Source organism: Homo sapiens, chromosome 5, assembly GCF_000001405.40.
Source record: "Homo sapiens chromosome 5, GRCh38.p14 Primary Assembly".
In the NCBI taxonomy this organism is placed as follows: Eukaryota; Metazoa; Chordata; class Mammalia; order Primates; family Hominidae; genus Homo; species Homo sapiens.
In genome coordinates this window covers 149596088-149610818 of record NC_000005.10, presented here as the reverse complement: position 1 = coordinate 149610818, position 14731 = coordinate 149596088, and the positions used below count along the sequence as shown (strand labels likewise).

General features: G+C 46.1%; 1 protein-coding gene and 1 pseudogene across 7 annotated transcripts in view, besides 1 other annotated feature; one reads left to right on the top strand and one right to left on the bottom strand.

Moving 5' to 3' along the window:
* ARHGEF37 (Rho guanine nucleotide exchange factor 37) overlaps positions 1-14731 on the bottom strand; it is an 83344-nt gene that overhangs the window by 24150 nt on the left and 44463 nt on the right. For 5 of the 7 annotated variants that reach the window (XM_011537642.4, XM_047417170.1, XM_006714784.4 and 2 more), the window contains 3 exons: positions 12864-13060; positions 9588-9711; positions 1124-1271 (listed from right to left, as the gene is read on the bottom strand). In XM_011537642.4, coding sequence (XP_011535944.1) covers positions 1124-1271; positions 9588-9711; positions 12864-13060 — 469 coding nt within the window. Of the gene's footprint in view, positions 1-1123; positions 1272-9587; positions 9712-12863; positions 13061-14371; positions 14396-14731 lie in introns of those variants that run through there. The other 2 variants (XM_005268447.4, XM_005268448.2) reach the window with 2 other exon arrangements.
* RNU6-588P (RNA, U6 small nuclear 588, pseudogene) lies at positions 4078-4182 on the top strand (annotated as a pseudogene).
* Positions 4426-4565: an enhancer, noted in NCBI's record as "active region_23379". NCBI's record gives its function as "activates an Ori minimal core promoter by ATAC-STARR-seq in GM12878 lymphoblastoid cells {active_cell/tissue: GM12878}" and the evidence as "EXISTENCE:reporter gene assay evidence [ECO:0000049][PMID:35858748]".

The following is a 14731-nucleotide window of genomic DNA, read 5'->3' as shown; positions in this document are numbered from 1 at the left end:
TGTCCTGCAGCTGCACGCTACACAGGGTCTGTTGTCTCTAGTGTGCGCAGCCTCCACTTCTCCCTTTTATCTCATCTCTGGCACCTTGCTTCCCTTTATATCTGTAAACTGTAGAAATATATTTTGTGACTCTTGCAGAAGCCTGTTTGTAAGACCCATGAAGGATGAATAAAAAGGGAAAATGAATACAGTTTTTTTGGGAGCAGAGAGGGGCTAGGACACGGGTTCTTGAAAAGGAGACTTTAGGCCTGGCATGGTGGCTCACGCCTGTTGTCCCAGCACTGTAGATATTTTTTACTGTAAAAAATACAGCCAGCCAGATATTTTTTACTGTAAAAATTTTGATGTTTTAAAGTTTTTTAATCTTATAATCACGTTACCCATTCGAAAATTTAAATTCGAATACATATTCTCTACATTTTTCTACCTGAGGCTTCTACCCATTGGTGCTAATTCTAAGCTATGAGTCCACCACGGACTGGTGATACTCTCCCTTTTCCATGTGGCAGGACTTCAGCCACCGGTAGAGAGGGAGCCTCAGGTGATACACACCTGCTTCTTATCACTATGGGAACACATGGGTCCCACCATCTCACTGCCCTTTCCTGTGCTTCTCATGAGCACTGTTCCCAAACGTTTCCGCTTCTCCAACCCTGGACATGTGGTAGGATGGCATGCCCTGCCTCCTGGCTGTTGAATGAAGCTATGATTAGTCCTGGCCAATGAATTACGAGAAGTGATTAATATTATTTCTGGCCCACAGCATTCAATTGCCAGCATTAGACTCTCCAGAGCTCTTTTTACTTAAGCCACAGTTACTGGCAATATTCCAGACAGTGGCTGCTGTGAGTTTGGGTGCCGAAGTGAGGATGACAAAGAGCAGAACCCCAAGTCAGCCTTCAGTGGAGCATAAGGAAGACATAAACCTTTGTTGTTTGAAACCACTGAGATGTGGGAGCTGTTTGTCTCTGTGGCACAGCCTGCCCTATCCTGACTAACACAGGCTCTGACAGAGCAACACTCGTGAAGCAGCACGAATGGCATGAAAAAGGGGTGAGACCATAGCTGCTCCTGAACCGGGTCAGTGGGGTAGGAGCGAGTGCTCACTGGCCGTTCTACTCACACCACCGCCTCAACGATGCCCTGGATGTGCCGCTGCAGCTCCGGCTCCTTCCGGTACGTGTCCACCAGTAGCAAGGCCTGGTCGTAGCTGGCACAGTAGACCTTATAGACTTGCTCCAACTCCTCTTGGAATTCCAGAAATATGTTACCTGAGAGTGAAGACGCAACAAGGGGTCGTCAAGGGCATGTCTGTGTGTCCCCTAGCTTGGAACAGGGAGGCAGTAAGTAAACCCCTCCAGCTCTCCAGTGAGATTGCTGGGTTTACCAGCATGTCACCATGGGCAAATGACCTCATCTTCCTGACTTTCTGTTTTTTTCATCTTTTCACAAGGTTGTTCTGAGGATTGAGTGACAGAATGATATACATCTTAGGCTAGGAAACTGTGAGCACTTACTAAATGGTAGCTATAGTCATACCAGGAATATTAATAATGCTCACATTTGGACAGTGCTTTATAGTACACAAAATACACTCAACCATTAGCTTGTTTTTTTGTTTTTTTGTTTCTTTTGAGATAGAGTCTTGCTCTTGTCCCCCAGGCTGGAGTGTGGTGGCGCAATCTCTACTCACTGCAACCTCTGCCTCCCAGGTTCATGCCATTCTCTGCCTCAGCCTCCTGAGTAGCTGGGATTACAGGCTCATGCTACCATGCCTGGCTAATTTTTGTATGTTTAGTGGAGATGGGGTTTCACCATGTTGGCCAGGCTGGTCTTGAATTCCTGACCTCAGGTGACCCACCCACCTCGGCCTCCCAAAGTGCTGGGATTACAGCTGTGAGCCACCACTCCTGGCCACTCATTTTATCTTTATAATTAAAGATAAAATGTGTGGCAAGCACAACAAATCCCCAATTTACAAAGACATGCTACAGCATAACACAACTGGTTACAGTGTGAGCTTGGATTCCAGGGAACTAGGGACAGATCTCCAGCAACCCTTCCCCAGTTGTGTAACCTGAGGCAAGTGTTTCACTCCTCTAGCTCTCTATTTTCTCATCTATGGAATGCAAATAGAAACAGTACTTACTGCCGGGTGTGGTGGGTCACGCCTATAATCCCAGCACTTTGCAGGCCAAGACGGGTGGATCACGAGGTCAGGAGTTCCAGACCAGCCTGGCTAACATGGTAAAACCCTGCCTTTACTAAAAATACAAAAATTAGCCGGGTGTGATGGTGTGCCCTTGTAGTCCCAGCTACTCTTGGGAGGCTGAGGGAGGAGAATTGCTTGAACCTGGGAGGCGGAGGTTGCAGTGAGCTGAGATCGCGCCACTGCACTCCAGCCTGCACAACAGAGCAAGACACCATCTCAAAAAAAAAAAAATTTGTTTGCATATTTGTTATTTTTAATCGCCATCCTCATATGTCATATTACATATGTAATATATTTATTATATATGTCATATTACATATGTAATATATTTATTATATATGTCAGGCCTCTGAGCACAAGCTAAGCCATCATATCCCCAGTGACCTGCACGTATACATCCAGATGGCCTGAAGCAACTGAAGATCCACAGAAGTGAAAATAGCTTAACTGATGACATTCCACCATTGTGATTTGTTTCTGCCCCACCCTAACTGATCAATGTTTTTTATAATCTCCCCCATCCTTAAGAGGTTTCTTTAGGCCGGGCCCGGTGGCTCATGCCTGTAATCCCAGCACTGTGGGAGGCCCAGATGGGTGGATCACAAGATCAGGAGATTGAGACCATCCTGGCTAACACAATGAAATCCCGTCTCTACTAAAAATACAAAAAAAATTTGCCAGGCATGGTGGCGGGCACCTGTAGTCCCAGCTACTCGGGAGGCTGAGGCAGGAGAATGGCGTGAACCCAGGAGGCGGAGCTTGCAGTAAGCTGAGATCGTGCCACTGCACTCACTCCAGCCTGGGTGACAGAGCAAGACTCCATCTCAAAAAAAAAAAAAAAAAAAAAAAAAGAAGTTTCTTTATAATTCTCCCCACCGTTGAGAATGTACTTTGTGAGATCCACCCCCTGCCCCCAAAACATTGCTCTTAACTCCACCGCCTATCCCAAAACCTGTAAGAACCAATGATAATCCCACCACCCTTTGCTGACTCCTTTTTCGGACTCAGCCCGCCTGCACCCAGGTGAAATAAAGAGCCTTGTTGCTCACACAAATCCTGTTTGGTGGTCTCTTCACATGGATGCGTGAGACAATACACATATGATAAGTGCCATGAATTAAAACGGAGCCAAATAAAGAGTTAGAAAATGGTGGGGGATGTACTTGGGGAAGGCCTTTCGCAAGATGTGAATGTCTACCAGAGAGGCAGAGGTAACTAGTCCTGGGAACAAGCAAGGGAAGAGCAGCACCAAGTATTAGGGAAGGACACCTGCAGAGGCCCTGAGGCAGGACAGTGCTGGCCACAAGGGCAACAGCAAGAAGGCAAGTGTGGCTGGAGTAGGTGAACAAGGGCATAAAGTAGAGGAAATAAATCTCCAGGTGGATGGTGTCAAAAAATAAAACAGGTTGGGTGCTATGGCTCATGCCTGAAATCCCAGCATTCTGGGAGGCCAAGGCGGGTGGATCACTTGAGGCCAGGAGTTTGAGACCAGCCTGGCCAACATAGCGAAACCCCGTCTCTACTAAAAAAATACAAAAATTAGCCAGGAGTGGTGGCAGGTGCCTCAGGAGGCTGAGGCAGGAGAACTGCTTGAACCCTGGAGGCAGAGGTAGCAGTGAGCTGAGATTGCACCACTGCACTCCAGCCTGGGCGACAGAGCAAGACTGTCTCAAAAAATCAATTAATTAAAAAATAAAAATAAAGTAGAGGAAATAAGCAGGAAACAGAAGCCAGATCATGTAGGGTCTTAAAGTAAGTGGAGTGCAGTAAGGGATTCAGGTTTTATTCTGATGGTTGCAGGAAGCAACTGGAGGCCTTTGAGCAACGGTGACATGATCTGATTTCTGCTTAAAAGGATCACACTGGTGCTCAATTTTAGCATCATATACGCTAAAGTTGGAACAATATAGAGATTAGCATGGCGCCTCTGCAAAAATGACATGCAAATTTGCGAAGCGTTCCATACTTTCAAATCAGAAACTAATGAGATTAGTTACCTACAGAGGGTGGACGGACTTGAGAGGAAGTGGTGAGGGTGAAGAAAAATATATTAACCACAAGAAGGCAGGTGGGGAACCAGGGACCACAGGAAGCCCAGCTGACCCTACTGCCTGCCAAAGCCATGGGCTAGACCTGTGACCCAGACAAGGTCTGTGTTGGGACACATCAGCTGGTGGCCAGAGGTGCATGGTCCAGTTCTCAGCAAAGATCCCCATGGGGAGATCGCAGTCCCAGGGCCTACCCTTTCCCGGTGTTGGTTCAGCTGATGCCTAGCAAGAACTCCCAGGAGAAGCCCCTAGAGCCAGACAGAACATGACCACCCGAAACTGCAGCCAGGAAGAAGCTGTGTGAGAGAGAGATCAGCCAACTGCAGAGACGGCCTGGCTAAGAGATAGCTTGGGTGTGGCCGTGAAACCTAGGCCGGTTCCCACAGTCTCCTCAACATGGGTGTGTCCTCAGAAATGAGACAGACATGCCAAGGAAACTGTGTCATACCAGTGTGGCCAGAGGCAAGGGTGTTTCAGTAACTAAAGGATGGAGGAAAGTGAACTCCCACAGAACAGAGTGGTCCAAAGAGGCAAGAATGGCAATTACACCAAAGGAAAGGCTTGTTTCCTCCCTGCTTGTCCTTCTCCAGTCACAGATTAGCAAACAATTTATTCCTAGCATAAAAGGGGATACTCATCTCTAGCTGGGATTAGTTGGAAAGGAGAGAAAGGGAGGCAGCATGGTCAAGACCTAGGGCTCTAGAAGAGCTGGGTTCAAATACTAACTCTGCCTGGTCAAGCTGTGTGACCTTGGGAATGTTACTTAGCCTCTCTGAGCCTCAGAGACGTTTTTGGTAAAATGGAGGTTATTAATAATAATCAACAAGTAACGATGTTATGAGAACTCAAAGAGCTCCTTCAGGTTAAGTACTTGGCATCATTGTTGGCACAGAGATGGATACTATTTTCATGATCATTTTAAGGTGGCAGTAACTGGGACTCAGAAAGGAAAGAGCTTGTGGGTGGCAGGGACTTGTTAGTCAGATTCCAAAGCTCCTGCGGTAACCTAGACCTTCAATGCTCAAATACAGTAGTCACCAGCCACACGTGGCTATTGGGCACTTGAAATATGATGAACCCCAAATGCGATGTGCTGTCAGTGTAAAAGATACTGGATTTCAAAGACTTCATACAAAACAAAAGTAATGAATGATGAATGTTTATACTGATTACATGTTAAAATATTATTTTGGATCTATTGAGTTAAATAAAAGATATCATTAAAATTAATTCCAGTTGCTTCTTTAATTTTCTTAATGTAGCTACTTGAAAATTTAAAAAATTTGCAGCTAACGTTATATTTCTTTTTTTCTTTTCTTTTTTTTTTTTTTTGAGATGCAGTCTTGCTCTGTTGCCCAGGCTGCAGTGCAGTGGCACAATCTCGGCTCACTGCCACCTCCACCTCCTGGGTTCAAGCAATTCTCCTGCCACAGCCTCCCAAGTAGCTGAGATTACAGGCACCCACCAACACGCCCGACTAATTTTTGTATTTTTAGTAGAGGTGGGGTTTCACTATGTTGGCCAAGCTGGTCTCGAACTCCTGACCTCAGGTGATCTATCTGCCTCAGCCTCCCAAAGTGCTGGGATTACAGGCGTGAGCCACCATGCCCAGTCTCCCAAAAATCTTTCAAAATGCTGTTGCTGGGCCAAGAGTTTGCAACCAGCCTGGCCAACATGGCGAAACCCAGTCTCTACTAAAAATACAAAAATTAGCCGGGCGTGGTGGCGCACGCCTGTAATCCCAGCTACCTGGCAGGCTGAGACATGAGAATCGCTTGAACCCAGGAGGCAGAGGTTGCAGTGAGCTAAGATTGCACCACTGTACTCCAGCCTGGGCGACAGAGAGAGATTCTGTCTCAAAAAAAAAAAAAAAAAAAAAAAATGGTGTTGCTGCCTTACTGGGAAAAGGGCTCTCCTTGCATAGCAAGGCCTAGGGGCTAGAAGGGGAATAGAGAGACAGCAGGCAAGAGCCAGAGCAGCCTGGCCTGGCACACAGTTGCACTGAGGAGAAGAAAAGCCATGTGGGTTATTTGGGCCTCTTTTTGGCAACCACAAGAGACAAGGGATGAGGAGGATATTTTCTGCAGACTCTGTAAAGGCCAGGGAACAGGACTGCCAAAGTTGCAGGGGAGAGAGGAATACAGGATGCTCTGTTAAATTTGAATTTTAGATAAACAATGAATAATTTTTTAGCGTAAGTAAGTCCCATGCAACATTTGGGATATACTTATACTAAAAAATTATTCATTGTTTATCTGAAATACAAATTTAACTGATCATCCCATATTTTAACTGGAAACCCTACAGTGAAGCAGTGAGGGCAGTCCATGGACCTATCACCAGGTGTGATCAGGAGACGAAGTAACATTTTGGCTCTGTGGCTCCAGCACAAAGGCAGACTGAGAAATGAAGACCTTTACAAGGAACCTCACCAAACCTCAAACATGTAGCTATAGAAGAGCCCGAGCTCAAAGTCCTTAGACCCTTAGAATGTTTTCAGCCTGAGGCTATATCAATTTCCATTCAAATAAGTGTTAATTATTAACCAAAATAATGATCAAATGATAAAAGAGAAGTACCTGTGAGAACATCTATAGGTACTTTTTAAATTTTTTTTATTTTTGAGACAGAGTCTCACTCTGTCACCCAGGCTGGAGTACACTGGCACGATCTCAGCTCCCTGCAACCTCCGCCTCCCGGGTTCAAGCGATTCTCGTGCCTCAGACTCCTGCATAGCTGGGATTACAAGTGTGTGCCACCACATCTGGCTAATTTTTGTATTTTTAGTAGAGACGGGGTTTCACCATGTTGGCCTGGGTGATCTCGAACTCTTGACCTCAGGTGATTTGCCCACCTTAGCTTCCCAAAGTGCTGGGATTATAGGGATGAGTCACCATGGCTGGCCTACAGGTGCTTTTTAAAATCTTGTTCTTTAATTTTGCATTCCTTTATCATTTGTAGGGAATAGTAACTCACATTGCTATTTTACTAAAGAACTATATTTTCAGAGGAATGATAAACACACAGTATACAGGCTTTAAGTCTCACCTTCTACCATGCAGAAGCAATTCAGTGTAGCAGTTAAGAGCTCTGACTCTCAGGGCCAACTACCTGCATTCAAATCCTGGCTCTGCCCCTAGCTGCGTGACTAAGCAGGTTATTGCCTCTCTCTGTGCCAAAGATTCCTCAACTGTAAAATGAGATAATGGTATCTACATTTCAGGGTTATTTTGAGATGAAGTGAATTAATATATGTACATAAGAACAGTGCTTAGCGTTTTGTAAACACTCAGAAAGTAGGTTTTTAAGATTTGTTTGCGTATTTAGGCCAGGCACGGTGGCTCACACCTGTAATCCCAGCACTTTGGGAGGCTGAGGTGGGCGGATCACCTGAGGTCAGGAGCTCGAGACCAGCCTGGCCAACATGGTGAAACCCTATCTCTACTAAAAATACAAAAATTAACCGGGTGTGGTGGCGGGCGCCTGTAATCCCAGCTACTCAGGAGGTTGAGGCAGGAGAATCGCTTGAACCTAGGAGGCAGAGGTTGCAGTGAGCCGAGATCATGCCATCGCACTCCAGCCTGGGTGACAGAGCGAGACTCCATCTCAAAAAAAAATAAAACTTTTTTTTGCATATTTGTTGTTTTTAATCTGCATCCTCATCATTCGTGTTCAGGAAAGGTTAGAAGATTGGTGGTGTAAAAGGGGACTTGGGTGGCCACAGTACTGGGTACCTTCATCTCCTCCTCCTTTCTGCCACTGTAGTGAATCTGACACCCACCCATTCACCTATATCTCCTGACTCCACTAGGAAATCCCTCACCATGGGAATCCTGGCAGCAGATGGGATGAGACAGAAGGAGACAGGTATGAGGTTTGGACCCACTCCTCCTTTCTTTCTGCTGTGCTCATCCTAACCATTTCAGAATAAGAAGACTATCCTCCTCAGGAGGCTGAGGCAGGAGGGTCCTTGAGGCTGGAAGGTAGAGGCTGCAGTGAGCCATGATTGCTCCATTGCACTCTAGACTGGGCAACAGAGTGAGATCCCGTCTCAAAAAAAAAAAAATTAAACCAAAGGAGACTATCCTCATTTCTCATCTGGGCCACAGTAAAGCCCCCAACTGATCTCGCTGCTTCCACTCTCACCACCCCCTCATAATCCATTGTCCACAGCAGCTGAAGAGATCTTTGAAAAACATAAATCAGCTGGGCACAGTGGCTCACGCCTGTAATCCCAGCACCTTGGGAGGCCAAGGCAGGTGGATCAAGAGGTCATGAGTTCAAGACAAGTCTGACCAATACGGTGAAACCCTGTCTCTACTAAAAATACAAAAAGTAACCAGGCATGGTGGCGCACGCTTGTAGTCTCAGCTACTCGGGAGGCTGAGGCAGGAGAATTGCTTGAACCCAGGAGGCGGAGGTTGCAGTGAGCCGAGATCATGCCGCTGCACTCGAGCCTGGGCGACAGAGTGAGACTCCGTCTCAAAAAAAAAAAAAAAGAAAGAAAAGAAAAACATAAATCAAACCGTGTCACTTCCCCACTCAAAACTGTCCAGTGGCTCCCCATCACAGTTAGAATAAACTCCAAACTCCTTGCCATGACCTATAAAGCTGTGCATGATCTGGTCCTTGCGTGCCTCTTCTATTTTATCCCCAACAGTCTCCCCTCACTAATTTCCCTGGAGCCACATCAACCTTCCGTCTGTCCTTTAAACATTCTGGACTCATCCTTGCCTCAGGGCCTTTGCACAACTATGCTCTCTACTCTCCCTTCAGATATTCTCAAGGCTAGCTCCTTCCTGACACTCAGATCTCAGCTCACATGTTCCCTCCTCCAGAGGCCTTCCCTCACACCCAGAAGTTACCATGACTATTTATTTCCTTTAAATTACAAATTATTACCTACAATTCTGTTGTTTGTCTATCTTCTGTCTCTGTCACTAACTTGTCAACCCCATGAGAATAGAAGCTCAGACTCTCTCGTTGATGCTGTGCCTGCACACTGCAGGTGCTCATTAAATAACCGTTGGATGAATGAATGTGAAAGAGACACAGACTAAAGATTTAGCTGCATCACTAACAATTCCGTGACTGTAAGCATGTTCCTCTCTGTCTCTGGGGCTCGGTCTCTGTAAAGCAATGGGACTGGACTAGTTGTTATTTGAGGGCCCTGCTGGCTCTGATATGTTGTGTTTTGGAGATCCCCAAAACAGACTGCCGTTGAGCTGCATTTCTCTGGAACTCTGGAGACAGTTAAGCAGTGACCACTCGCTGAGAACAGTTCCATGAGAATCTAAGGCTGACAACTCCTTAGGTTTTTTGCTTACCAACTAGCTGCACTTGTTCCTCTTCCTTGGAGGCTGTCTCCTGCAGATCATGGAGGAATCTGCTGTTCACTTTGATGATATCATCAATGTTTGAGAACAGGACATCCAGATCTCCCTGCGGCAACTGGAAGGAACAAAGAAGCCATGAGAGGTGGTTGGGAGTTCCATAGAATGTATTTGCAGGCTTTTGAGAGTAGGACAGAACACTCACACCATTCCCATCACTCCTGAGAAGATTGGCTGCCCCAGTGGAATTTTGCAAGGATTTTGAAACGTTATAAATTAGGTATTTTCAGGCCAGGCGCAGTGGCTCACGCCTGTAATCCCAGCACGTTGGGGAGATGAGGCGGGTGGATCATGAGGTCAGGAGTTCAAGACCAGCCTGGCCAAGATGGTGAAACCCATCTCTACTAAAAATACAAAAATTAGCTCGGCATGGTGGTGGGTGCTTGTAATCCCAGCTACTCGGGAGGCTGAGGTAGACAATTGCTTGAACCTGGGAGGTGGAGGTTGCAGTGAGCCGAGATCGTGCCACTGCACTCCAGCCTGGGCGACAGAGCGAGACTCCATCTCAAAAAAAAAAAAAATTAGGTATTTTCATTACTCTACAAGAAGAGAGGAACAGACGGAGTACTCAGTGGGGAAGAAAAGCTGAACCGGGGTTTTAGCCTAGGTCTGCTGCCAGCTAGCTTCTCTCAGTTTCCCCATCTGTCATTGAAGGGTGAGAAGTTAGACTTCTTTCCACCTCTGACATACTTGGCACCTACCACCATGACCTCAAGATGCATTCTCTGGCCCCTATTAACCAGGCTATACCACTGTTTAAAAAGATGCAGGACATCTATATAAATGCACAAGCATGGAAGGATGTGCTGGACACACATTCAAGTGGGAAAGCTAACTGAAGAACAATATCTAGAGTCTGCTCTTGTTTCTGTTAAAATAAATAACAACATATACAGTCACGCACTGCATAATAACATTTTAATCAATGATAAACTGCATATACCAGGGTGATCTCATAGGATTATAATATCATATTTTTACTGTACCTTTTCTGTGTTTAGATACATAAATACTATTGTGCTGCATTTGCCTGTAGTATTCAGGACAGTGACATGCTGAACACACTTATAGCCTAGGAGCAATAGGCCATACCATCCAGTCTAGGTGTGTAGTAGGCTATATCATCTAGGTTTGTATTAGTGCACTCTATGATGTTCACACATGATGAAATTGCCTCACTATGCATTCCTCAAAACATATCCCTGGTGTTAAGTGACATAAGACTGTATTTGCTTGTTTAATGCCTATAGAGAAAAATCCCAATTTCTGGAGGGTAAAATAAAAGAAGTACTTCACTTTCTACATTATCTACATTGGTATTTCATTCAATGAAGAAAGACTAATTTTAAGTCTGTTATTTATGTGTCAAGACTGGGATATAATCAACTTAACAAAATATTTGCCCTTATGGAGTTCAAATGCTAGGGGATGCTTGAAACGTAGCAAGCAAGAGCCTGCATTATTTCTGAAACCCAAAAAAGAAAATGTAAAAAATAAGCACTGTAATAGTAACTCTCACAGTGCTAATTTCTCCATGTCACCACCCTGCAAATGAGACAGTTAGAATGTAGGTCATGGCTCGGTGTGGTGGCATGTGCTTGTAATCCTAGCTAATCAGGAGGCTGACTTCGGAGGGTGAGATGGGAGGATCACTTGAGCCTGGGAGTTTGAGACCAGTCTGGGCAATGTAGTGAGACCCTGTCTCCTGTAAATAAATAAATAAATAAATAAGTTTGCCTTGGGCTTTCCTGGGTGAGCCGAGCCTTGCCCTGGCCTTTTGGGTTCCCCTGCCTGAGGGCCTGCAGGGGCTGTGGTTGGAGACCTGAGGAGGGGACAGAGCCCAGCCCCTCTCCTGTGGCTGAGCAGGCCTCTGTGTCCATGACACCTGTCTTCGGGGGCCTGGGGGCTGTGGGCGTATGTCCTCCCTGCTGGCTCCCCCAGCCCCTGCTGCTTGATGCTCTTGGAACTCTTCCCTAAGGAGTCAGTCCCCTAGAGGCCTATCAGGGAATCCTTTTGTATCTGCACTTTGGGTTTTAGTTTCAAAGCTCCATCAGGTACAGCTCACGTTTCAGGATGTGTGGAAAGCTTGAGTGAGGGCTCCCCTGGTTTGTCCTAGTTCCACCTTCCTTAGAGGGAGAAGGCTGTTGCAGACCCCCATCCATGCCACACCAGCTCAGCACTGCACATCTCAAGGTGATTCCCAAGACAGCTGGTGCCTCCTGGCCTTCCTGCACCAGGCCAAGGGGCACCTCAGAGGATGCTGGATCCTTTGCCTCTTCTTGATTGAGGGATCTCTCTATATATGAATGTGTGTATATAAATATAAATATACATATATATATACACACACACACACATATATATATCTATATATCTATATCTATATATCTATATCTATATCTATATCTATATATAGATATATATATATGAGATTTATTTTTTCTGGAATTCTGTTAGAAAAGTAAAGAAAAAGCAAATGCTATTGATTTATCTCAGGGTACCCAAAGAGGTTGTAGTCAATTTTTGGTACTAGGAAAGGCAGCAAATGCATTTCCTGACTTTTAAGCATTTCCTTGTTGGAAGCCATAGAGGGCCAGGCCAAGTCGCTGACAGTGACTTTGTGATCGAATAAAGAGACCCTTGAAGGGGAAGCAGGAAAAAAAGAAGAAGAGGAGGAAGAAGAAGAAGAGGAAAAAGAAAGAAGAGGAAGAAGAAAGAAGAGGAAGGAGAAGAAGGAGAAGGAGAAGAAGGAGAAGAGGAAGAGGAAGGAGAGGAAGAGGAAGAAGAGGAAGAGGAAGAAGAGGAAGAGGAAGAAGAAGAGGAAGAGGAAGAGGAAGAAAGAAGAAGAAGAAGAAGAAGAAGAAGAAGAAGAAGAAGAAGAAGAAGAAGAAGAAGAAGAAGAGTCAGTTTAAGCAATCTGTTCCAAACTTGAAAAGGGCTTGTTCATTAGCTCACATAGGTCTCCCAGTGATTATTCCGCTCACCAGTTAGCCAAGGAATACACTAAGACTCTAAGCCATGGAAGACCTTGATGGAGGTTGCACGGCCAAGGAAAAGAAGTACTGGGGCTTACATCCAGGTCTGTCAGACTTCACATCTACCACGCTTCCTTTCTGTCAAGCTTGCCCCAGGAATGGATGAGAAATCTCAGAAGCTGGGACCCACATTTGCCCCTATAAAGACAGGTTGTGTGTGACCCCACCCAAGTACCTGCTGGAGGCGGCTCCTGATGTCAGAGGCACAGAGCTGGAGCATGTGCAAGTAGGAGACCTCAGTGTCGATGAGCTCCCGGACAGCCAGCCTCTGATGAAGCAGCGATCTGTCCTCAGAGGCCCTACCTTCCCTGTCCGGACTCCCTGACCTGGAGGATGGCTCGTCGGCTCCATGCTTGGCCATGTCAGCAGGTTCTGGGAAAAGCAAAAGCATCCCCACTCACTTCCAGGAAGAACTATTGGGACATGCTGTCTCTAATTCAATGACAATTACTCATCAAGAGGCCTAAAAACATCTTAAGCTGCAAACAGAGTCAAGATGAACTGTTTATTAGCATTTGTAGGCAGTACCTGAACAATATTGAAAGGCAGGTAACAGCTCTGATAACTCTTGACATTTTAGGTGGTGGCTCATGCCTGTAATCCCAGCACTTTGGGAGGCCAAGGTGGGCAGATCACCTGATGTCAGGAGTTCGAGACCAGCCTGGCCAACATGATGAAACCCCGTCTCTACTAAAAATACAAAAATTAGCCAGGCATGGTGGCGGGCTCCTGTAGTCCCAGCTACTCAGATACGCTGAGGCAGAAGAATCACTTGAACCCGGGAGGCAGAGGTTGCAGTGAGCCAAGATCACACCACTGCACTCCAGCCTGGGCAACAGAGCAAGATTCTTACAAAAAAAATTTTTTTTTAATAGATAATTCTTGACATTTTGAATTCATTTCCCAGGACCCAGACAACATGCTTGCCTGGCTTTTCTTCTATTTCCAATCCAGCTCTTGACCTAGATTTCTTTATCTGGTACAGCTGAATCTCTTTCACCCTCTCCCAGTGGTCCCCCTACACCCCATCCCACCAGCTACCCCATTTAGGCCTTACTACCCATCGCCTGGGCTATTTCCACAGCCCTCAGAGTCATCCTTCCTAATCCACACTGCTCTCCTGCCACCACCACACCCATTCTTTCTGGACACATTTCCAGTTTAAACTCCCTGAAACAAAGCTTGTGAACATGGTGTGCCCTGCTGTAAGACTTTAGTAGCTTCCTGCTGCTCAGTGATCTGATTCCAACCTCATTTCCCCTTCACAGACTGCACTCCAGGCTCTAACTTCATTTCCTCTTCACAGGTTGTACTGCAGTGGAAAGAGAGTTGAGCGCTCTTCTCCATACTTGCATTGGCATTTCCTGCTTTTGCACTTGCCATGCCCCCTCCTGTGTTCCTATCCCCCAGCATTCACTTCTCTAAGGCTACTCTTGATCCTCCCCTCATTTCTCACTCCCACCAGCTGCACTTTTCTTCTCTGAAACTCCTGCAATCCTTTATCTCTAACTTATAAAGTATCAAGGGCCCGGGTGCGGTGGCTCACGCCTGTAATCCCAGCACTTTGGGAGGCTGAGGTGGGCAAACCACCTGAGGTCAGGAGTTCGAGACCAGCCTGGCCAACATGGTAAAACCGCATTTCTACTCAAAATACAAAAATTAGCCGGGTGTGGTGGTGCACACCTGTAATCCCAGCTACTCGGGAGGCTGAGGTAAGAGAATCACTTGAACCCAGGAGGTGGAGGTTGCAGTGAGCCGAGATTGTGCCACTGCCCTCCAGCCTGGGTGACAGAGCAAGACTCCATCTCAAAATAATAATAAAGCGTAAAGGGCAATACCATGGACAAGATGATCTGAAAAACTTTCCTACTACAAAACACTTAGGAATGCTAGATCAGTTATAATAAACTTTTTAACTGCATGACAGATCTTGTAAGGGAGGAAAAGAAATCACTAGGGCCCTCAAACAGGGAATTGAAAACTACGGTGGGGAGCAGCTGAGCTGATGCAGCTGTGGCCCAAAGTAGAGGGGTGGGTAAGGAA